The following is a 23409-nucleotide window of genomic DNA, read 5'->3' on the forward strand; positions in this document are numbered from 1 at the left end:
AAGATGAATAAACATGGCCCTTACATTTAAGCCAGGGGGAAAGACTTAAAATTAATCAACAAAAATATGATTTAAAAATACTGTAATATAGGCTGGGCATGGCAGCTCACGCCTGTGATCCCAGCACTTTGGGAGGCGGAGGCAAGCAGATTGCTTGAGCTCAGGAGTTCAAGACCAGCCCGGGCAACATGGCGAAAACTTGCCTCTACAAAAATAAAAAAAATTAGCTGAGTGTGGTGGTGCACACCTGTGGTCCCAGCTACTTGGTAAACTGAAGTAGGGGAGCCAGGAGATCGACACTTCAGTGAGTTGAGATAGTGCCACTGAACTCCAACCTGGGTGACAGAGAGAGATCCTGTCTCAAAAAAAAAATCTGTAATATAGATTTATACCACATAAAGAGCTAAAAGAATACACGAAGAGGAGAGGTTAATTCTGGCTTAAACCTAGGGTGACTCAGCTTCAAAGAAGAGGTAATTATAAAGAAAAACAAGTAAAAGCCTGAAGAAATTAAGATTAATTTAAATTCATTTAAGTGTTTTTTATATCATATAATAGATTGCTTTCCTTGAGTGTGTGGAGACAGTATAACAGGAGCAAGAGTTGTGATGTCTAACGGGCAAAATAGGGTGTCATAATTTCAAAGAGGTTAGAAATCACTCTCTTAGTACCCTCAAAGTTTAAACACTGGATTACTCAGACCTTGTTATGTGTAATTTCTAGGTGATGAGTACTGGGAAAAATTTGTGCCAAATCAGCATAACTAAAGGGCTTTAATAGCAATCACTTACTTATCTTTATTGTAATAATCATGATAAGGTGACTATATGGCATCAGAACCTAGATAAGTATTTCCCATTTCATAAGTTAGGGCATTTTAAGTTGTATTTTTTAAGGATATTGAGCAAACACTTTTAATTCTCGTGTACCTAACAGTAAGGACAACAGTGATTTGCTTTCTTCTTGGTTATAAACACTCGTGTGTGTGTGCGTGTGTGTGTGTGTGTATGTGTATGTGTATGTTTAAAGGATGTTTTGAGCATTATAACATACCCCAAAGCTCTACCTGAGTTCTTTTTAAAAAGACAATTACAACAGAAGAAGAACAAACAGGATTTCCTCTATAACTAATATTGACTTAACTTTATAGGGTCCTAAGCCTGAACTCCTCTGTTTATTCATGAAACAGATCCAGGCTATTGGTCCATTTGAATTTATTTCCAAACTTCACAGTTCAGACTGTACAGCCAGTTTAACTCTTGGCTTTTCAGGTGACTTCACTTGCAAGGGTTATAGAAAAGGCCACAGCAGTGTTGGGATGTTGCAAAAGAAACCCATGCCCTGGCCCATAGCCCAGTAGACTAGAGTCCCTCAGCAAAAGAGAGTTTCCACTGTTTATACTTGGGAATTATCCCTGGTTTAGCCTTTGTCTCAAACCATCTGGATGTTAAAAGTGCTAATAAGCAACTGACTTACTGGAGGAATAAATTCAATCTAGTGATTCTATTCTGGAAGGCTCTGTAAAGACAGAGATACTGGCAATAAAGCAGCAAAGCAATTTCCCAAGTTTTGAGGTCGTCTAGACCTAGTTGTGAGATATTGATAACAGAGTGGCCACTGGAAATTCTTCATAGTGGCTCAACTTTTTTTGTAGATGAAAGAATTCATGTTTAGATCTTGTCCAACAACCCACTTCCTAGCTTTCTTAAAAGTAGCAAGTGTGGATTCTTTCCTAGAGACCCTGAAATTATTTCACAGCTCTCATTGTGAAAATTGTTGGGAAAGTTTTATGAGACTTGGGGTTTCCTGAGAGTTATCAAGATCATTTTAAATTTGACCACAAAGCTAATGTCAGAGAATAGCAGCTTTAAGGCCTCTCAAATCACAGTATTATACAAGAAAAAATATTCTTTTTTCTTCTAATGAAGAGTAGGGGTGTGTATGTCCTGTTATTATACCTTTTCATTTTCCTGTATTAGCTGTTACATTGACCTATGTCAGAGATGAAAACTGTGAGTGTACTTTTAATTAATTTTTATATGGAAATAGTCATTTAGGTAATGGAAAACACCATTTTTGTGAAATGGCTAGTGGGCATAATTGCACTCATTCATTTTATTTCAAGATCATGTTTTGCTTTATTAGTAAAAAGCATTTGTCAAAAATTTTAACTTTGAGATTTTTCTGAAATTATCTTTCTTTTCTTTTCTTTTTTTTTTTAATTTGAGACCCCTCCGTCACCCAGCTGGAGTGCAGTAGCACCATCATAGCTCACTGCAGCCTCAACCTCTTGGGCTCAGCCTCCAGAGTAGCTGGGACTACAGGCATGCGCCACCACCCCCAGCTAATTTTCAATGTTTTGTTTTGTTTTTTTTGTAGAGATGGGGTCCCATTATGTTGCCCAGGCTGGTCTCAAACTGCTGGGCTTAAGCTGTCCTCCCACCTTGGCCTCCTAAAGAGCTGGGATTACAGGCATGAGCCACCACATTTGGCCCTCAAAATTATCCTAAATATAGCAATGCTAGTAATGAATTGGCACATAGTAACCACCTTTTTCTCTCCACTAGCTATGAAAGTGTCTGTTTCTATAAGTAATTCTTTCTTTCCAGCTTTACAATCAGTTTTCTTTTGAGTTTTCCTTGGAAACCTCACATTCTCAGAAAAATATTGCAGACTCTTTCACTTTAAAGGCCAACACATGTCTCTCATGTTTCATTTAAACTTATGGTCAAGGAGTTAGCTTAATGTCAATCTCTCTATCATATCTGATGGTTCTCTGCGGCCTGGAAAAATACAATTGATAAGATTTACTGAATGCTTTTTATGTGCCAGACACTATTGTAAACACTTTCCATTTAGTAACTCATTTAATCCTCATAACCCTATGAGCTAGGGTCATCAGCTAAATCAACCTGTTAGTAGGCATCTTCTTGAATGTCATACTGAATTTATTAATCCATTCATAAAATACATATAGAATACCTGCTAGGTCCTAGATGCTCTAGACAGAAAAGTATGTAAGACTGGGTACCTATGCAGACTTTCAGGAGTTCGGAGTCAAGCAATTAGTAGCCCCAATTGCAGTTGCTTTGCCGGACACTGTGTGATTAATAGAACAGATTAATGAGGTCTCAGGCACATGGTATGTGGCAACTGATATGATAAATACATTCTTTTCTATTCCAATTAGAAGAGAGGATCAGAAACAGTTCACATTCCTGTGGGTTAGATAATAATTTTCAATTACACTTTTGACTTAGAGCTATGTTAATGTTCCTGCCTTCTGTCATAATATACTCTGAAGAAATCTGGACTGCCTGAACATTCGTCTGATACATTACATTGATGACATTATGCTGATTGTTTAGAATGAGCAAGAAGGCACTAGTATGCTAAAGGCCTTGGTAAGACACAGTGTTCCAGAGGGTTGGAAATAAATCCTATGAAGATTCAGGGATTTGAAACTTCAATGAAGTGTTTTAGGAATGCAATGGTCATAAACATGACAAGATATCCCCTTCAAAGTAAAAGAAAATTGCTGCATCTTGCGTGTGCCACCACAAAGAAGGAAATGAAGTGGCTGGTAGGCCTCTTTGGGTTCTGGAGGCGGCGTATTCCAAACCTATGAATACTGCTAGATTGAGTGACATAGAAAGTTGCCAGCTTTGAGTGAAGAGGTCCAGGCTGCACTGCAAACAGAGCTGCCACTTGGGGCATACAATCCAGCACATCTCATGGTGTAGGTGACAGTGGTGGGAAAACATGCAGTGTCTTACGGCAAGTATCATTGGGAGAATAACAACATAGGGCCCTGGAATTCTGGGGCAAGGCTATGCCATTTGTAGCATAGAATTATATGTCTTTTGAGAAAAAGCTCTTGGTGAATTACTGGGACTGGTAGAGGCAGAGTGCTTCACCATGGGGCACAAAGTGACCATGGGTCTAGAACTGCACATTACAAGTTTGGTTCTGCTGGATATGTTAAATCACAAGGCTGTATAGGTCCAGCAGTAGTCTACTTTAATATGGAAAATTACATCAAGGATTGAGCCTGAGAAGGACAAAGGACATGGCAAATTGCATGCGCAGGTAGCTCAGACCAGCATGTCATTCACAACAGCTGAAATAACACCCTTCCCTAGCTTGTTCCTATGGCCATATGGGGGCCCCGTAAGACCAACTGAAGTAGAAGGAAAGCTTAAGCTTGATTTTTGGGTGGGTCTGTTCTGTATGTGAGTACAAGCTCAAAATGGACCATGGCTGCATTACAACCACATTCAAGGATAGCCTTGAAAGACAGTGGAGAGGGAAAATCTTCCCAGTGCGTGGATCTGTAAAAAGTGCACCTAGTCATTGACTTCTTGTGGAATGAGAAGTGGCCCAGTATATATAGACTTGGGAAATAGCCAATGTCCTGGCTGTCTGGTCGGGGCCTGGAAAGAAAATAATTGAAAGATTTTAGAGAAGGAGTTCTGGGGTAGAGGTATGCAGGTAAACATGAAGAGTTTAGTGTGACATATTATGGCCCAATAGAAAGCATCTACCATGGAAGAGATTGTGAACAGTGAAGCAGATATAATAACCAGACCAGTTTATATAAGCCAGTCTTTGTTGTTGGCTACCCTGAAACTGACATTTTGGCATAAGAAAAAAGTGGCCATGCTGCCAGAGACAGGCTATGCATGGGCCCAGGAGCATGGACCTCCCATCACCAAAGCTGACCTAGCTTCTGCTGCTTCTGAATGTCCAACCTGTCAGCAACAGAGATCAATGCTGTTATATCACTATTTATTAATGAGACCAACTGGCCACTTGGTGGTAAGTCAACTACAAGGGCTAGAGGGTTGTTTTCACCTATTCTGGGTACAGGCTTGTCTTTCCTGATTGTAGTACCTTAGCCAGCACCATAATCCAGGGGCTTAAAGAATGTCTGATCTATGGGTATAGAATACCACACAAAAAACATTTGAACAGGTGACCCATTTCACAGTAAAGGAGATGCAGGATTGAACTCATGACCATGGGAGCTCTAGCTATATCTTCTACAACAAAATCATTTAGAAGTAGCCAACTTCACAGAACACTGGAACAGCTATCTAAAGGCACAGCTGAAACGTCAGCTCAGAAGCAACACTCTCAAAGGAGGCAGTGCCATCCTTTGCAGAGAGAAGCTCAGGATTATTCTTCTTCCTTTAGCTGGTCGTATGGGAACCCTTTCCTCTAGCCCCATTTTAGCCAAAGGTACCAACTGGGAAAGGGATGCTGTTGCAACTGTGGTAGATGACATGGGGATCTGAGCTAACTCAGAGACCTCTATATGGTACCATGTCATCAGCAGGAGGAACACAATGGCCATCGATGGGTGTAATCAGGACTAGCCCTATCTACCATCACTCCCAATAACTCTCAATGGGGGATTTTGGGCTCCCCATATGTGCAACTCTGGGCTCTGCAGGGCTGGAGGTCCCGAGAGGGAGTGCACTCTTGCCAGGGGACAGTGAGTGTCTCATTGAACTATATGTTATAGATACTGCCAGGGCAGTTTGGACACCTCATGTCCAGAGACCTGCAGGCAAGAATAGGGTCACATCTTGGCAGGGGTAATCAACCCTGATCATTGGGAGAAGGTAGTGCTGCTTATAGACAATAAGGATAGGAATATGTATGCAACTCCTATGTCATCTACTTGGAAGCCTGCTGGTACTCCTTTGGCCCACTGTAGCTGTGAAAGGACATGTACAACGACCCTGACTTGAAAAGGGTATGACTGCCAAGAGCTCAGACCCATCAGGAATGAAGGTTTGGGTCACACCACAAGGTAAGCTACCATTACTTGCCAAGGTGATAGCTGAGGGTTGAGAGGACTTGGAATGGATAATAGAGGTGGGAGAAGTTAAGTACCTTGTTGCAGTCTCAAGCCCAACTGCAGCAATGGGGCTCCAGTTCATCTCACTAACTTCCTTCTAAGTTTTCCCTCAGGAAGAAAAGCCCATAGGAAACATGGAGGATGTGTTCCCTAAATTTGCATAGAGAAGCAGATCTGTCCAGAGAAAGAGGTGGACTGTGGCAATCAAGAAAATTTGTCATTCAGCCTGGGTGTGGTAACTCATGCCTGTAATCCCAGCATTTTGGAAGGCCAAGGCAGGCAGATCACCTGAAGTCAGGAGTTTGAGACCAGTCTGGCCAACATGGTGAAACCCTATCTCTACCAAAAATACAAAATTAGCTGGGTTTGGTGGTGTGTGCTTGTAATCCTAGCTACTTGGGAGGCTGAGGTAGGAGAATCACTTGAACCCGGGAGGCAAAGTTTGCAGTGAGCTGAGATTGTGCCACTGCACTCCAGCCTGGGCAAAAAGAGTGAAACTCCATCTCAAAAAAGAAAATTTGTCACTCAAATCTTCTGCTATAGGGAACATAATTGACTACTGGACCATTACTCTTCTGGATCCACCCCTGTTTCAGTACTGAGGCAATACTTCTTTTGGGCTTCTCCTAGTCAGTAACAGCAAGGGTATAATGTAGGCCCATTCCTGTGAGATGAGGGACTCCTTTTAATAGGAGACTTTGGCTTGAGGACCTCACATTGGCCTGGTTGACACTTTCTTAGAATGATGCTGTAGTATAAGGCTCTTTCTACCTAATCCTCCTTCCTTTCCCCACTTTCCCTATTGTGAGACTTGCATCACAGTCTGAAGGCTCTCTCCACTTCCTCTGGCTATCTTCCATTTATCTTTCATAGGCACTTTCCACAATAAGTCACTTGCACGTCTAATTCTGTTTTGGCATTTGTTTCTCAGAGGATACAAACTAACACAGTGCCACCAGGGAATAAGACCTTAGCTAACGATAAAATGGTAGGGTATGAAGAAGACAGACTTAGAATCTACCTCCTGTACTGGATCTACAGAAATGTAGTATACAATGTTGACTGTGTTCTATGAACTGTTTTCTGCAAATGCCAATTCAAAAAACGTTATTTTTGCTAACTTAAAGAGGAAGTGCTGGAAAATAAAATGAAAGTAAAGGAATCACTTCCTCTATCTCTAACTGTTCTTTCACTTTTTTTTTTTCCCTATTTACAGTTTTTATTATTACTTAAGTGATAATCTTTTGTACAGTCTGGCAGTCTACAAATTTATAACACTTGGCATTTGAGCAAAACACTACTAGAAAATCACTCAAGTGTGCCCTGAAGGAGCAAAAGCATAATCTTAATTCATATAAATGAGACCATTTTGTTACTGCCTAGTCAATTGTTTGAAAAGAGAACTGAACATTAGGAATCTTGTACCTATTCTTATCTTATCTATGCTATTACCGTTTTGGCACATCTCTTAAATTCTTGAAACCGTATCTTATGTAACTAGAAAATCAAGTAAAGGTATTTACTCTCTAGAGCTAAAGAAAGACATATCCTTAGATGGGTCTCTTATATATTAATCATACTTCATGATGTGTGTGCATGCACATCATGAAGTGTGTGATGTCTGATGTAGAAAAAATCAGCATAAGATTTGGAGTAAAGAGACCTGAACTCAGCTCTACAACTTGTAAGAAACCTGGGCAAGTCCTATTGCCTTATTGAGTTTTGGTTACCCTGTAGGCTGTTGCAAAGTTCAAGTGTAACAGAGCACGTGAAAAGGCTTTGTAAATTATAAAATGCCATATAAATGTGAATTTTTATGATAGCGATGATAATTAGGGATCTTTTTTAGGACAGCTCCTGATATATGACAGATGTAAATAGCTTAGGATAAGCAGGAAGTTAATTTAACTCACTGTATTACTCTACTAGGGCTTCCATAACAAAACACCATAGATTGGGTAGCTTAAACAACAGAACTTTATTTGATCACAGTTCTGGAGGCTAGAAAGTCTAGAAGTTCAAGATCAAGGTGCTGGCACGGTTGGTTTCTTCTGAGGCTTCTCTCCTTAGCTTTCAGATAGCCCCCTTCTTGCTGTGTCTTCATAAGTTTTTTTTCTCCATCCCTGGTGTCTCTTCCTCTTCTTATAAGGACATAAGTCATATTGGATTAGTGCCCCACCATTAGGACTTCATTTAACCTTAATTACCTCTTTAAAGGCTCCATTTCCTAATACAGACACACTGGGGTTAGGGTTTCAAAATTCAAATTTTGAATGAACACAGTTTCATCCATAACACTCATCATTAAGTATGTTCAAATCCATTCCAGGGTCTATTCGAAACTATGCTGGTCTACCTCAGGATAATGTGGTTCCTAGACCTCCTGCCTCAGGGTTACTTGAGGTGCTTGGTAGAAATGCAGATTCCTCAGTCCCATCTCGGGTTTAATGAATCAGAATCTCTGGGGTTAGCATTCAGCAACTGCATTTTTATCATCTGGGTAAAAGTTATCTGGATGGTTCTTGTGTACCAAAGTTTAACAATTACTGTTATAACGGAAAGCACATAGAGCTTTGGAGTTCCATGGCCTGGGTTCAAATCCTGGCTCCACCAACTACTAGATGTGTAATCTTTGACAAATTACTTAATCTTTCTGCCCTACAAATTACTTAATCTCAATTGTCCCATGTGTTGTAAAAATGAGGATTATTATTTCTACTGGCAGATTGTTGTGAGGATGAGAATAAGAGGCTTAGAGGACCTCACATGCTGTAGTTGCTTCATAATATTTTTATTGTTATCATTCTCATACTTTATATTCTGATAAAACAATGATTTCATGAACACTTTCATTTTTATGCCTTTTTTCTTCCTTGCAATGCCATCCTCTCTTATATCTAAATCCTACCCATCCTTTAAGACAGATTTTAAATCTCATCTACTTTATGTCACCCATCCTGATCCTCATTGCAATTTGGCTATCTTTTAGGACAGGGATCCTCAACCCCCACACTGGTACTGGTCCATGGCCTGTTAGGAACCAGGCTGCACAACAGGAGGTGAGTGGCAGATGAGTGAGCCTTACCGCTTGAGCTCCACCTCCTGTCAGATCAGCAGAGGCATTAGATTCTCATAGGAACATGAATCCTTTTGTGAACTGCGCATGCAAGGGATCTAGGTTGCATGCTCCATCTAATGCCTGATGATCTGAGATGGAATAGTTTTTCTTTTTTTTTTATTATACTTTAAGTTTTAGGGTACACGTGCACATTGTGCAGGTTAGTTACATATGTATACATGTGCCATGCTGGTGCGCTGCACCCACTAACTTGTCATCTAGCATTAGGTATATCTCCCAACTAGTCGCTCCCCCCTCCCCCCACCCCACAACAGTCCCCAGAGTGTGATATTCCCCTTCCTGTGTCCATGTGATCTCATTGTTCAATTCCCACCTATGAGTGAGAATATGCGGTGTTTGGTTTTTTGTTCTTGCGATAGTTTACTGAGGATGATGATTTCCAATTTCATCCATGTCCCTACAAAGGACATGAACTCATCCTTTTTTATGGCTGCATAGTATTCCATGGTGTATATGTGCCACATTTTCTTCATCCAGTCTATCATTGTTGGACATTTGGGTTGGTTCCAAGTCTTTGCTATTGCGAATAATGCCGCAATAAACATACGTGTGCATGTGTCTTTATAGCAGCATGATTTATAGTCCTTTGGGTATATACCCAGTAATGGGATGGCTGGGTCAAATGGTATTTCTAGTTCTAGATCCCTGAGGAATCGCCACACTGACTTCCACAATGGTTGAACTAGTTTACAGTCCCACCAACAGTGTAAAAGTGTTCCTATTTCTCCACATCCTCTCCAGCACCTGTTGTTTCCTGACTTTTTAATGACTGCCATTCTAACTGGTGTGAGATGGTATCTCATTGTGGTTTTGATTTGCATTTCTCGGATGGCCAGTGATGATGAGCATTTTTTCATGTGTTTTTTGGCTGCATAAATGTCTTCTTTTGAGAAGTGTCTGTTCATGTCCTTCGCCCACTTGTTGATGGGGTTGTTTGTTTTTTTCTTGTAAATTTGTTTGAGTTCATTGTAGATTCTGGATATTAGCCCTTTGTCAGATGAGTAGGTTGCGAAAATTTTCTCCCATTTTGTAGGTTGTCTGTTCACTCTGATGGTAGTTTCTTTTGCTGTGCAGAAGCTCTTGAGTTTAATTAGATCCCATTTGTCAATTTTGGCTTCTGTTGCCATTGCTTTTGGTGTTTTAGACATGAAGTCCTTGCCCATGCCTATGTCCTGAATGGTATTGCCTAGGTTTTCTTCTAGGGTTTTTATGGTTTTAGGTCTAACGTTTAAGTCTTTAATCCATCTTGAATTGATTTTTATATAAGGTGTAAGGAAGGGATCCAGTTTCAGCTTTCTACATATGGCTAGCCAGTTTTTCCAGCACCATTTATTAAATAGGGAATCCTTTCCCCATTGCTTGTTTTTCTCAGGTTTGTCAAAGATCAGATAGTTGTAGATATGCGGTGTTATTTCTGAGGGCTCTGTTCTGTTCCATTGATCTATATCTCTGTTTTGGTACCAGTACCATGCTGTTTTGGTTAGTGTAGCCTTGTAGTATAGTTTGAAGTCAGGTAGTGTGATGCCTCCAGCTTTGTTCTTTTGGCTTAGGATTGACTTGGTGATGCGGGCTCTTTTTTGGTTCCGTATGAACTTTAAAGTAGTTTTTTCCAATTCTGGGAAGAAAGTCATTGGTAGCTTGATGGGGATGGCATTGAATCTGTAAATTACCTTGGGCAGTATGGCCATTTTCACGATATTGATTCTTCCTACCCATGAGCATGGAATGTTCTTCCATTTGTTTGTATCCTCTTTTATTTCCTTGAGCAGTGGTTTGTAGTTCTTCTTGAAGAGGTCCTTCACATCCCTTGTAAGTTGGATTGCTAGGTATTTTATTCTCTTTGAAGCAACTGTGAATGGGAGTTCACTCATGATTTGGCTCTCCGTCTGTTGTTGGTGTATAAGAATGCTTGTGATTTTTGTACATTGATTTTGTATCCTGAGACTTTGCTGAAGTTGCTTATCAGCTTAAGGAGATTTTGGGCTGAGACAATGGGGTTTTCTAGATATACAATCATGTCGTCTGCAAAAAGGGACAATTTGACTTCCTCTTTTCCTAATTGAATACCCTTTATTTCCTTCTCCTGCCTAATTGCCCTGGCCAGAACTTCCAACACTATGTTGAATAGGAGTGGTGAGAGAGGGCATCCCTGTCTTATGCCAGTTTTCAAAGGGAATGCTTCCAGTTTTTGCCCATTCAGTATGATATTGGCTGTGGGTTTCTCATAGATAGCTCTTATTATTTTGAGATACGTCCCATCAATACCTAATTTATTGAGAGTTTTTAGCATGAAGGGTTGTTGAATTTTGTCAAAGGACTTTTCTGCATCTATTGAGATAATCATCTGGTTTTTGTCTTTGGCTCTGTTTATATGCTGGATTACATTTATTGATTTGCGTATATTGAACCAGCCTTGCATCCCAGGGATGAAGCCCACTTGGTCATGGTGGATAAGCTTTTTGATGTGCTGCTGGATTCGGTTTGCCAGTATTTTATTGAGGATTTTTGCATCAATGTTCATCAAGGATATTGGTCTAAAATTCTCTTTTTTTGTTGTGTCTCTGCCTGGCTTTGGTATCAGAATGATGCTGGCCTCATAAAATGAGTTAGGGAGGATTCCCTCTTTTTCTATTGATTGGAATAGTTTCAGAAGGAATGGTACCAGTTCCTCCTTGTACCTCTGGTATAATTCGGCTGTGAATCCATCTGGTCCTGGACTCTTTTTGGTTGGTAAGCTATTGATTATTGCCACAATTTCAGCTCCTGTTATTGGTCTGTTCAGAGATTCAACTTCTTCCTGGTTTAGTCTTGGGAGAGTGTATGTGTCCAGGAATTTATCCATTTCTTCTAGATTTTCTAGTTTATTTGCGTAGAGGTGTTTGTAGTATTCCCTGAAGGTAGTTTGTATTTCTGTAGGATTGGTGGTGATATCCCCTTTATCATTTTTTATTGCGTCTATTTGATTCTTCTCTCTTTTTTTCTTTATTAGTCTTGCTAGCGGTCTATGAATTTTGTTGATCCTTTCAAAAAACCAGCTCCTGGATTCATTAATTTTTTGAAGGGTTTTTTGTGTCTCTATTTCCTTCAGTTCTGCTCTGATTTTAGTTATTTCTTGCCTTCTGCTAGCTTTTGAATGAGTTTGCTCTTGCTTTTCTAGTTCTTTTAATTGTGATGTTAGTGTGTCAATTTTCGATATTTCCTGCTTTCTCTTGTGGGCATTTAGTGCAATAAATTTCCCTCTACACACTGCTTTGAATGTGTCCCAGAGATTCTGGTATGTTGTGTCTTTGTTCTCGTTGGTTTCAAAGAACATCTTTATTTCTGCCTTCATTTTGTTATATACCCAGTAGTCATTCAGGAGCAGGTTGTTCAGTTTCCATGTAGTTGAGCGGTTTTGAGTGAGATTCTTAATCCTGAGTTCTAGTTTGATTGCACTGTGGTCTGAGAGATAGTTTGCTATAATTTCTGTTCTTTTACATTTGCTGAGGAGAGCTTTACTTCCCAGTATGTGGTCAAGTTTGGAATAGGTGTGGTGTGGTGCTGAAAAAAATGTATATTCTGTTGATTTGGGGTGGAGACTTCTGTAGATGTCTATTAGGTCCGCTTGGTGCAGAGATGAGTTCAATTCCTGGGTATCCTTGTTGACTTTCTGTCTCATTGATGTGTCTAATGTTGACATTGGGGTGTTAAAATCTCCCATTATTAATGTGTGGGAGTCTAAGTCTCTTTGTAGGTCACTCAGGACTTGCTTTATGAATCTTGGTGCTCCTGTATTGGGTGCATATATATTTAGGATAGTTAGCTCTTCTTGTTGAATTGATCCCTTTACCATTATGTAATGGCCTTCTTTGTCTCTTTTGATCTTTGTTGGTTTAAAGTCTGTTTTATCAGAGACTAGGATTGCAACCCCTGCCTTTTTTTGTTTTCCATTGGCTTGGTAGATCTTCCTCCATCCTTTTATTTTGAGCCTATGTGTGTCTCTGCACATGAGATGGGTTTCCTGAATACAGCACACTGATGGGTCTTGACTCTTTATCCAATTTGCCAGTCTGTGTCTTTTAATTGGAGCATTTAGTCCATTTACATTTAAAGTTAATATTGTTATGTGTGAATTTGATCCTGTCATTATTATGTTAGCTGGTTAATTTGCTCGTTAGTTGATGCAGTTTCTTCCTAGTCTCGATGGTCTTTACATTTTGGCATGATTTTGCAGTGGCTGGTACCGGTTGTTCCTTTCCATGTTTAGTGCTTCCTTCAGGAGCTCTTGTAAGGCAGGCCTGGTGGTGACAAAATCTCTCAGCATTTGCTTGTCTGTAAAGTATTTTATTTCTCCTTCACTTATGAAGCTTAGTTTGGCTGGATATGAAATTCTGGGTTGAAAATTCTTTTCTTTAAGAATGTTGAATATTGGCCCCCACTCTCTTCTGGCTTGTAGGGTTTCTGCCGAGAGATCCGCTGTTAGTCTGATGGGCTTCCCTTTGAGGGTAACCCGACCTTTCTCTTTGGCTGCCCTTAACATTTTTTCCTTCATTTCAGCTTTGGTGAATCTGACAATTATGTGTCTTGGAGTTGCTCTTCTCGAGGAGTATCTTTGTGGCGTTCTCTGTATTTCCTGAATCTGAACGTTGGCCTGCCTTGCTAGATTGGGGAAGTTCTCCTGGATAATATCCTGCAGAGTGTTTTCCAACTTGGTTCCATTCTCCCCATCACTTTCAGGTACACCAATCAGACGTAGATTTGGTCTTTTCATATTTCTTTTAATTCTTTTTTCTCTAGACTTCCCTTCTCACTTCATTTCATTCATTTCATCTTCCATCGCTGATACCCTTTCTTCCAGTTGATCGCATCGGCTCCTGAGGCTTCTGCATTCTTCACGTAGTTCTCGAGCCTTGGTTTTCAGCTCCATCAGCTCCTTTAAGCACTTCTCTGTATTGGTTATTCTAGTTATACATTCTTCTAAATTTTTTTCAAAGTTTTCAACTTCTTTGCCTTTGGTTTGAATGTCCTCCCATAGCTCAGAGTAATTTGATCATCTGAAGCCTTCTTCTCTCAGCTCGTCAAAGTCATTCTCCATCCAGCTTTGTTCCATTGCTGGTGAGGAACTGCGTTCCTTTGGAGGAGGAGAGGCGCTCTGCTTTTTAGAGTTTCCAGTTTTTCTGTTCTGTTTTTTCCCCATCTTTGTGGTTTTTATCTACTTTTGGTCTTTGATGATGGTGATGTACAGATGGGTTTTTGGTGTGGATGTCCTTTCTGTTTGTTAGCTTTCCTTCTAACAGACAGGACCCTCAGCTGCAGGTCTGTTGGAGTACCCTGCCGTGTGAGGTGTCAGTGTGCCCCTGCTGGGGGGTGCCTCCCAGTTAGGCTGCTCGGGGGTCAGGGGTCAGGGACCCACTTGAGGAGGCAGTCTGCCCGTTCTCAGATCTCCAGCTGCGTGCTGGGAGAACCACTGCTCTCTTCAAAGCTGTCAGACAGGGACATTTAAGTCTGCAGAGGTTCCTGCTGTCTTTTTGTTTGTCTGTGCCCTGCCCCCAGAAGTGGAGCCTACAAAGGCAGGCAGGCCTCCTTGAGCTGTGGTGGGCTCCACCCAGTTCGAGCTTCCTGGCTGCTTTGTTTACCTAATCAAGCCTGGGCAATGGCGGGCACCCCTCCCCCAGCCTAACTGCCGCCTTGCAGTTTGATCTCAGACTGCTGTGCTAGCAATCAGTGAGACTCTGTGGGCATAGGACCCTCCGAGCCAGGTGCGGGATATAATCTCGTGATGCGCCGTTTTTTAAGTCCGTCGGAAAAGCGCAGTATTAGGGTGGGAGTGACCCGATTTTCCAGGTGCCGTCTGTCACCCCTTTCTTTGACTCAGAAAGGGAACTCCCTGACCCCTTGCGCTTCCCAAGTGAGGCAATGCCTCGCCCTGCTTCGGCTCGTGCACGGTGTGCACACCCACTGACCTGCGCCCACTGTCTGGCACTCCCTAGTGAGATGAACCTGGTACCTCAGATGGAAATGCAGAAATCACCCGTCTTCTGCGTCGCTCACACTGAGAGCTGTAGACCCGGAGCTGTTCCTATTCGGCCATCTTGGCTCCTCTGATGGAATAGTTTCATCCCAAAATCATCCCCCCCGGTCTGTGGAAAATTGTCTTCCACAAAACCAGTCGTTGGTGCCAAAAAGGTTGGGACTGCTGTTTCTGGATATTCCATTTTGTATTACAGTTATTTGTGTATGTCTTGTTCCCCACTGACCATTTACAACTGATTCTATCCCAACACTTGTACACATACACGCAACACACAAATGCATGCAACACACACTTTTCGAGGGTACCTAGGACAGGGCTTAAATTAATAAATATTTGCTGAATGGAATGAAAGGGGATATGTTTTTTTGAAGGCGAAGATTCCACTTAATTCTTCGTAAAATTTAGGCTTTTTTTTTTTTTAAGTGATTTTTGTAGAGACAGGGTTTCACTATGTTGCCCAGGCTAGTCTTGAACTCCTGGCCTCAAGTTATTCTCCTAACTCAGCCTTCTGAAGTGTGGGATTACAGGCATGAGCCACCGTGCATAGCCAAAATTCAGGCTTTCTATGCCCATGATACAAGAAGTAGTAGCTCATGTTTTAGGGGCTGGTAGTATACAAGAAAATTTGAAACAGAATTTTGACAAATGTGAATGTATGCAGGGAATGAAGCTAATATATCCCTTCATTCTTATATCCCAATAAGTAAACAGAACTGGAGCCTTTAGTTATTATTATGAACATGTGGCCAGAGAAACTTACTGCACTGTGTACCTCTGGAAGAGTAAAGAGCTTGAGAGTGAGATTGATGAAGGATGAAGAAATTTTGATTGTTAGAGAAACTTGGAGCCCACAGTTTATTTTGAAACCATTTTTAGTAAAGATTTAGTCAGGTTCATTCCTATGAAGGTTTAGAAATGTCTGGTCTATTTTATAGCACAATAAAACCTCATGGTTTCCTGGTTGGCTGGTATTTGTTTAAAGAGAGTGGCTTGCTGGTCTGGACAACATTTGAGAAGCTATAATGAGAGGAAATCTGATGTAAACCGTTTCACCTGTAAAAAGGAGGGTCTCTAAGGAATAAAATCAGCCATAGCCATGAAGTTTACTGGTTAAAGAGCCATAGTTTTGATTTGTTTAAAGTGTTGTTCATGTTAGAGTGGATGTTAGTGATCCTTTCAAACATGATTACACATCCCAAAATACAGCATTAAAATCTTGAATTTATATAAGGTTTCTTGTTATTTTTCACAGTTTGCACTTACATTTAATATAGTTACCAAAGCACCAGACCATGCTAGAGAGTTGTCACTGGGAACAGTCCAAGCATAATTCTAGTGAAGATTGATGTTAGGTTAAGAACTGGAGCGCTGCAGTTAATCCTGGTTATTTAGCAGGAAAATGACATAAAATACTCTTGCTTTTGCCTGAATTATCTGACTAGACATTAATAAAATTCTGTAAATGTACAAGTCTTTATTTTGCTTTTCATTAGTAGATCTAGTTGTTTGTTTATTATTTCTGGAGCTGGTAAAAATATAGTGATTTTAAACAAAGAATGTTGAACAAGATCATTTCAATGATCTTACCATCGGAATCTTTTCAAAAGGGAGATTTCTCACTGACTTCAAAGGGGTAGGAGAAAAAAAGCAGAATAAGGTTGTATGACTCATTGAAGCCAGATAATAACTGTTTAGTTATTTTAACCTCTAAGAGCTATGCTAGACATTTATATTTGTTTCTGTATTATATAGAATCTGTAGCCTCACTGTCATATTTTTTACTCTCTTATTTGTAGGATAGCACTATGAATACAAAATAAGTGTTGGTTTATCATATCTATTTCTAGAAATGTAGGGAAGACTGTAGGTAGTATACCATTAAGGGGAATCCATTATTTTAAACTTATTTTTTTTACACAGGAGAAAAGTTGGTATATGTGTACTTTATATTGTATCAATAAACTACTCAAATTTTCTTTTTACACTAAAACTAACAAAGAAATGATGAAACTAAAGGTAAAGCTTTTTCCTGGCTAAACTTTCTAGAATGAAACTCTCTTTTCTTAATGTCAAAATAAGTGTTAATTCATTCCTCAATCCACTGCAATCTGGTTTCTGCCCCAACTGTGGCAACTGTTCCACATAAGGTTGACAATGAAACTTGTCATTGTCAGGTTTCATTGACACCCGTGGTTACTTTCCTGTCCTCATCTTTTTAGAATGTGGTATTTTATGCTTTTTTGTCCCCCTTCTGGAAACTTCCTCATTTTGGTTTGTGACACCACTCCTGTCTGATTCTCTTTCTAGCTTTGCTACTTCCTTTTCAGTCATTCTTTTGAGCAATTCTTTAGTTCCTTGTCCCTTACATGTTTGTATTCCTGAGTTCAAAAACAAATCCTCTTCTCTTCTCACACTATATACTCTCATAGGGGATATCTCTTTTTCTCCCAGGGTTCCACTTCTCCATATGTACTACAGGCTTCCAATCTATACCTCTAGCCCAGATTGTTTTCTTGAGCTTCAGACTCATACATCCAATGGCCAAGAAACATTCCCACTTGGATTCAATCTGTTCAAAAGGAAATCCATAATCTTTACTCTCAATTATTCCTCTAGTACTTCTTATCCTGTTCAATGGTTTCAAGATATTCTAGTCACCTAGGCTAGACCTGGGGAACCCTCTTCACAGTCTCCTTTTCTGCACATTCCAATTCTATGGAACTGATCAGAAAGTTTTATAGCTGTTATTAATTCAATTAATTCTTCCTTTCCAAATGGTACTACTGCCATTGCCTTACAGAACTTTATCTTTCATTTGGCCAATTATAATGGTTTCTTAAACGATTTTCCTAGCTTTGGTCTTACATTCTTTCAAACTAACCTTCATTCAATACCAGCATTGGGTTTTGAAAAACAATTAAATACAATAAAAATTGATCATGGCTTCTCCCTCCTTTAAAACTTAACAGTTCCTTACCACCTACAGAATAAAGTCCAGGTTTCTCAGAATGGCCTATAGGGATTCCCATGATTTGGCTTCCACCTATCTATCCAGTCTCATTTTCCCATTCCCATCTTCCCTCCCCCACAAATCATACCAATCTGTTTAAAGTTCCAGAAATGCCCATGATGTCTCATGCCTCCATGGCTTTGCAATACTGTTCTTTGTATGGAATACTCTCCCTCCTCCTTGTCCACCTGGGAAGCTCCTATTCTTCAATACCTAGGTTAGTATCTCTTCATCTGTGAACTACTCCATGTCCTATCACTGTACCTGGTAAGAACTCTGTTAGAGCATTTTGCACTGTACTGCATTTGTTTACTTATTTTCTCCTTTACCAAACTGAGGACAGGGACCGTGTCTTATTCATATTTGTACCTTTAGTATCTGAGTAGCATCAAGTACATGCTGAATAAATGAATACATTTGCAAACATAAATCTTTTTTTGTCTTCCCTATGTTTAATGCTAATATGAATGAAATTGGTTACGGCTTAATTTTTTTTTTCTGTTTCTCCATGTTACAACATATAGGCCCTAAATCAACATCTTTTCTGCAGAATGAGATCTAAGATATGTAGGGCCATGAAATTAAGATAATATTATGTATGCATTCCTTAAAATTTAATATATAAAACATTTCTGCATTTATAGTAATTAGAACAGAGGCATTAACATCCCTGTAGCATTTGCTTTTTGAAGAAAGAGAGCTATTTACTTGATTGTATAGTAAAAAGGCAGACTTAGTTGAATAAAATAATATTGAAAGTAAGGCTTAAAAAGAGTTGAACAGACAATATAATCTGGAGGTCTCCTTGGAAAAACTCAGAATTAACAGAGTCCTGTGAAGTCCTGAAGGGATGTGGGAGGATAAGGAAAAGGATAGATGTAAGAAAAATAAACTAATTTACATTTACTAAGCATCTACTCATTGTTAGTTACCTTACACGTGTAATTTAATTTAATCCACAGCAACTCTTTAAGAGGTAGACATTGTTATCCCCATTTCACAGATGAGGTAGGTAACATGAGACTTTAAGTAACCTCCAAGGTCATGTAGCTACAAATGGTAACTAGATCAGAATGACGCTAAAGTTTCCTTCCTTCACATCGTGCTACCTGGCCTTTCAAATGAAGTTCCCAGAGCTGCTGTGCTGCTGTGCGCAGCTTAGTAACACACACGAAGTCACATTATTTACTCCTATTTGCAATGATAATATGTAGGTGTTTCACTTAGCAGTTAATAGTAATATAACTGCAATTTATTTCTAATTCCATGCTTAATAAAAATTTTTTAAGAAAAGAATAGTCTTACACTTTTTGATGATGCTAATGAACTAGATGAATCCTTTTGAGCTCCTCTTGCAAAACTGCATGAATACATTTTAAGTTGGCTTAGTGGAGAAACACACCTCTCTCTCTCTCTCTCTCTCTCTCTCTCTCTCTCTCTCTATATATATATATATATATATATATATATATATATATATATTTTTTTTTTTTTTTTTTTTTTTTTTTTTTTGGTGCGCTCTGCTTGTTGGCTCCATTTGGAATCCAGAAATGACTGCTTTCTGGGGGAAAAGGCAGTTTGCTTTTGCTGCCTCCTGTAGATTGCTTGGCCTGGCAGTTTGTCACTTTCCTGGGCAAGTATCCAGTTTGTGGTAGTGAGGTGGTTTTGTGGCAGAACTCCACAATTAACCACAAGTTCAGTGTCAACGGTAGGCTGCCACCGTCGTGGCTGTGATCCTTCAGATCTGCTGGGATAGCCAGAGCTGAAGAAACTCCTGCTTGTCTAGGGAGGGAACAAGAAAACTTGGAAAGAGTCTGCATTGCTGTTTATTGTTCAAGTTTCAGTTTTTAGATTTATAATAAAAAATCCAGGAAATTTCTGGGTAAGCGTTATAGATTTAATACTTTTACCAATTGTTATATTTTAAAAGTATAATAGTAAATTTGTGTCAGAGATACAATTGTTGCTCTGAAAACTTGAAACGGAAAGAGGAAAATTCTTAAAAGTACTAGAATATATGCTTTCACAGCCAAAGAATTCAGGTACTGTCACTTGAGTTAAAATAAAAAATGACCCACACATCTCTGAAACATTTATTTTATGTTGAAAGTGAAATACGACATAAACATATGTGTAATTTTGTTTTTGTAAATCTAGGAAAAAGGGTTCTTTTAGTGATTTGGTGCAAATGAATGTTAAGAAAAATATTTTAAAATCACAATATGAAAAGTTTTTTCTATTATATTCTATTTTAAGAGTTTTCTATTAAAATTCATTGACTAATAAAGCCAAAAATCAAAGGAAATACAGTTAAAGTCTGATTTATTAAAATAGTTTTGAGAAATATCAACACACTTGAAAAATTCTGAGGACTTGCTGTAGGCTAAGTACTTGCTATAGGCATGAAGATTGAGCTAAGATTGAATAAGAGAGAATTCTTGTTTGAAGAATATATTGCAGAGCTAGCCATGTAAATAAGCAAATATGATAACAGAACATAAACCTTTATGTAACAAATAATAACAAACTCCAGTTCCATTAGTAGGGCCACACCATCTCTGTAGTCCCATCATACCTTACACTTAAGCCATAGGATACTTGAGTTATCCAAATGCACTATAGCTGAATTCCTCCAGATTTTTGCACTGCTTGCTTCCTTTGCCCAGATTATCTTTTCTACTTACTTTACTTAGGTAACTTATATTCACCTTTTAATATCAAGCCTAGAAATCACTTTCTCTGAGTCCTCCAGAGCATTACTCCTTACCTGCTACTCCTACTGTAGTCTGGGCTCCTGAGATCCCAGAGTACACTGAGGATTATTACCTCTGTATCACAGCTCCTGTTACAACGGGCTGTAATAGTCTTCTTACTGTCTTGCTTTCATTAGACTAAGGAACCACATCTTCACCATTATATCTTTGTCATCTAGCACAGTGTCCAGCACACCGGGCACATAATAAATACTGAATGAATGAATGCATTCATTAATGGAGATAGATTAAATGCTGGTAGAGGGGGGATGGTACGTAGGAGAAGTAAAAGAAGTTAGGGAATATAATACAGAGTTGAAAGAGAGAGGTCGGGGGAAAGAGGAGAGAGATCAGAAGACAGCCATCTGGACAGATGCTGGGGAGAGAAAGAAGGAAGACTGTAAGAGAGAGAAATGGAACTAGAAGAATGAGAAACTGAGAACAAGCTGAAACAATTACACAGTGGGGGCACCCTAGAAGAAAATGATTTTCTTCTGTTTTAATAGTCCTAACACATTGTTCTCAACAGTTCTTAATCACATATTTATTCTTTTGTGCTATTTAATAGTCTATGTGCAGACATTCTATCTCCCAGATAAAGCTGCAGCTCTGAGAAAACTCTGAAGGACCTGTTATAGTTTTAAAAAATGTTCTAAATAGCATTTAGTACAAATCTCGGCATATAGTGGGCACTAAATAGCTACTTGTTGAAAAGAACTAAAAGAATGAGTCAAAATGAGGCTCAGATTCTGAGATGAGTATTAGCTGGAAGGAACATAGGTATTGTTAACATACTTGGGCAACAGAGTCGCTACTGCACACAGAAAACAATGATCCTTTCTATGCTAGAGAAAAGCTTGTCCATTTTTGTTTTTAAATATAAGGTCGTAAATGTTAATTATTTAATTCTTTGAAAAACCTTATAAGGTTTTGCATGTATCTTCAGGGATGACTCTAGTTTTATAAATTTGGAATCTCAATGATACTGGTTAATTTACTGCCTATTTCTGAGTTTCTTTGATATTTAAAATGTGTCAGACCACTTTATCCTGAGAAATTAGAAAAAAAGAAATACCCAGGGGCTTGCATTGTCCTAAAATGACTTGGGAGCAGGGTGGTAACAGCCAGGATCCCATGTCATGGTAAACCAGGAGAGTGGAGAGATCCACTAAGGAGTGGAGAGATGATGGGTCAAAACGTGAGGGAAGGCACCTAATGTAGATGACGCCTTGATGGGTGCAGCAAACCACCACGGCACGTGTATACCTATGTAACAAACCTGTACGTTCTGCACATGTATCCCAGAACTTAAAGTATAATAATAATTAAAAAAAAAAAAGACGTGAGGGAAGGCAAAGTCAGGTAAAATAAGGATGGGGTAAAGTGCTGGGAAAAGTCAAAGGTATACTGTGACTTCAGTTTTTTTCATGACAGATAATGGTCATAAATTCTTGAACCTAAAGAACTAAGTAATTTTATTGGTTGTTTAAGTTTGGCAAGGGAATAATTAAATAATCTGACCTCTAAGAAATGTGGCCTAGTAATAATCTTTGACAAAGACTGTAAACAGAGAAGGGAGTTACTATAAACATAGCTAGCTCATTCTTTTTGTGCATATTTTTAGTTAAGTAAACTTCTGATGGTCTTTGGTCACGTCCTTACACTTTATTTTAGAATTCTCTCAGGTGCTAGGTTGGCCTTCAGAGGGATGCACTCCGACTATGGGTTATTGAAAGAGTTGGGCTTGTAGCCTTATAAAAACCTGAATGACAGCTAAAAGGCGGCTAGAGAATCTTGAAGACGATTTTGTGAAGAGGGCTTTGGATTTTATTTTTCAGAAAACAGTCATTTGACACAATCCCTTTATTTTTACTTGTCAACACTGAGACTTTGGTTTAGTTTGGTAGTATAAATAATATAAAAGGTTGCTCTTGGCTCTTGCTCTTATTATATTATTGGCAACCTGAAAGGTGAGTCTTAAGGATGCCTATGTATTTTTGGCATACAGAAATCAGAGCTTTTTAAGACTAGAAAGGATTTCAAAGGTTATCTAAATTAATTGCTTCATTTCACATTTGAGAAGAACAAGGCCAGTAAAAGTTATAGGATTGCTTAATGGCAGAGTATGAATGGCTAGGCCCAGACAAAAACTCACAAAACTGGATTTCTACTCCCTACCGTTTCCATGATCACGTGCCAATCCTACTTTAGATGATAACTTCAGATTAAATGCCCACACACATACACGCACATGCACACACACACACCTGTTAATCTGAATTTGTTCTAATTTTCAAATCAATTTATTATTTCCTATGGAATTTATAACGGGAATTTCAATAATGCTGGTGCTAGTTTTGTCACGCCCTTCTGTACAAACTCAAAATGTATCCATTTTTTACTTTAATCTTCAACTGGTGGTAATGAGTTCTATGCACATCATATAAAAAATACATTTGCTGAGTTTTGCTGAAATGAGCATTTTTTTTCTTGTCATGGGGATAAAATGACCTTTTGAATTTTTATCTTTTAGGACAAGCATTTGGGTAATACATTAGAAAAGGAAAAGCAAAGGAAAGGGAATTCTGGAACTTTTTCATTTTGGTTAAATTCTTGTGCTAATTTCTT

At 39.1% G+C, this 23409-nt stretch overlaps 1 protein-coding gene across 1 annotated transcript in view, besides 1 other annotated feature; it reads right to left on the minus strand.

The window, feature by feature from the left end:
• Positions 1-23409, minus strand: part of PSMA1 (proteasome 20S subunit alpha 1) — a 138787-nt gene that overhangs the window by 114201 nt on the left and 1177 nt on the right. The window lies entirely within an intron of this gene.
• Positions 14187-14776: an enhancer, noted in NCBI's record as "OCT4-NANOG-H3K27ac-H3K4me1 hESC enhancer chr11:14654809-14655398 (GRCh37/hg19 assembly coordinates)". NCBI's record gives its function as "activates a minimal SCP1, AML or CMV promoter by ChIP-STARR-seq in primed H9 embryonic stem cells {active_cell/tissue: H9 hESC(primed)}" and the evidence as "EXISTENCE:reporter gene assay evidence [ECO:0000049][PMID:30033119]".

This window comes from Homo sapiens, chromosome 11 (genome assembly GCF_000001405.40).
Source record: "Homo sapiens chromosome 11, GRCh38.p14 Primary Assembly".
Taxonomy (NCBI): domain Eukaryota; kingdom Metazoa; phylum Chordata; class Mammalia; order Primates; family Hominidae; genus Homo; species Homo sapiens.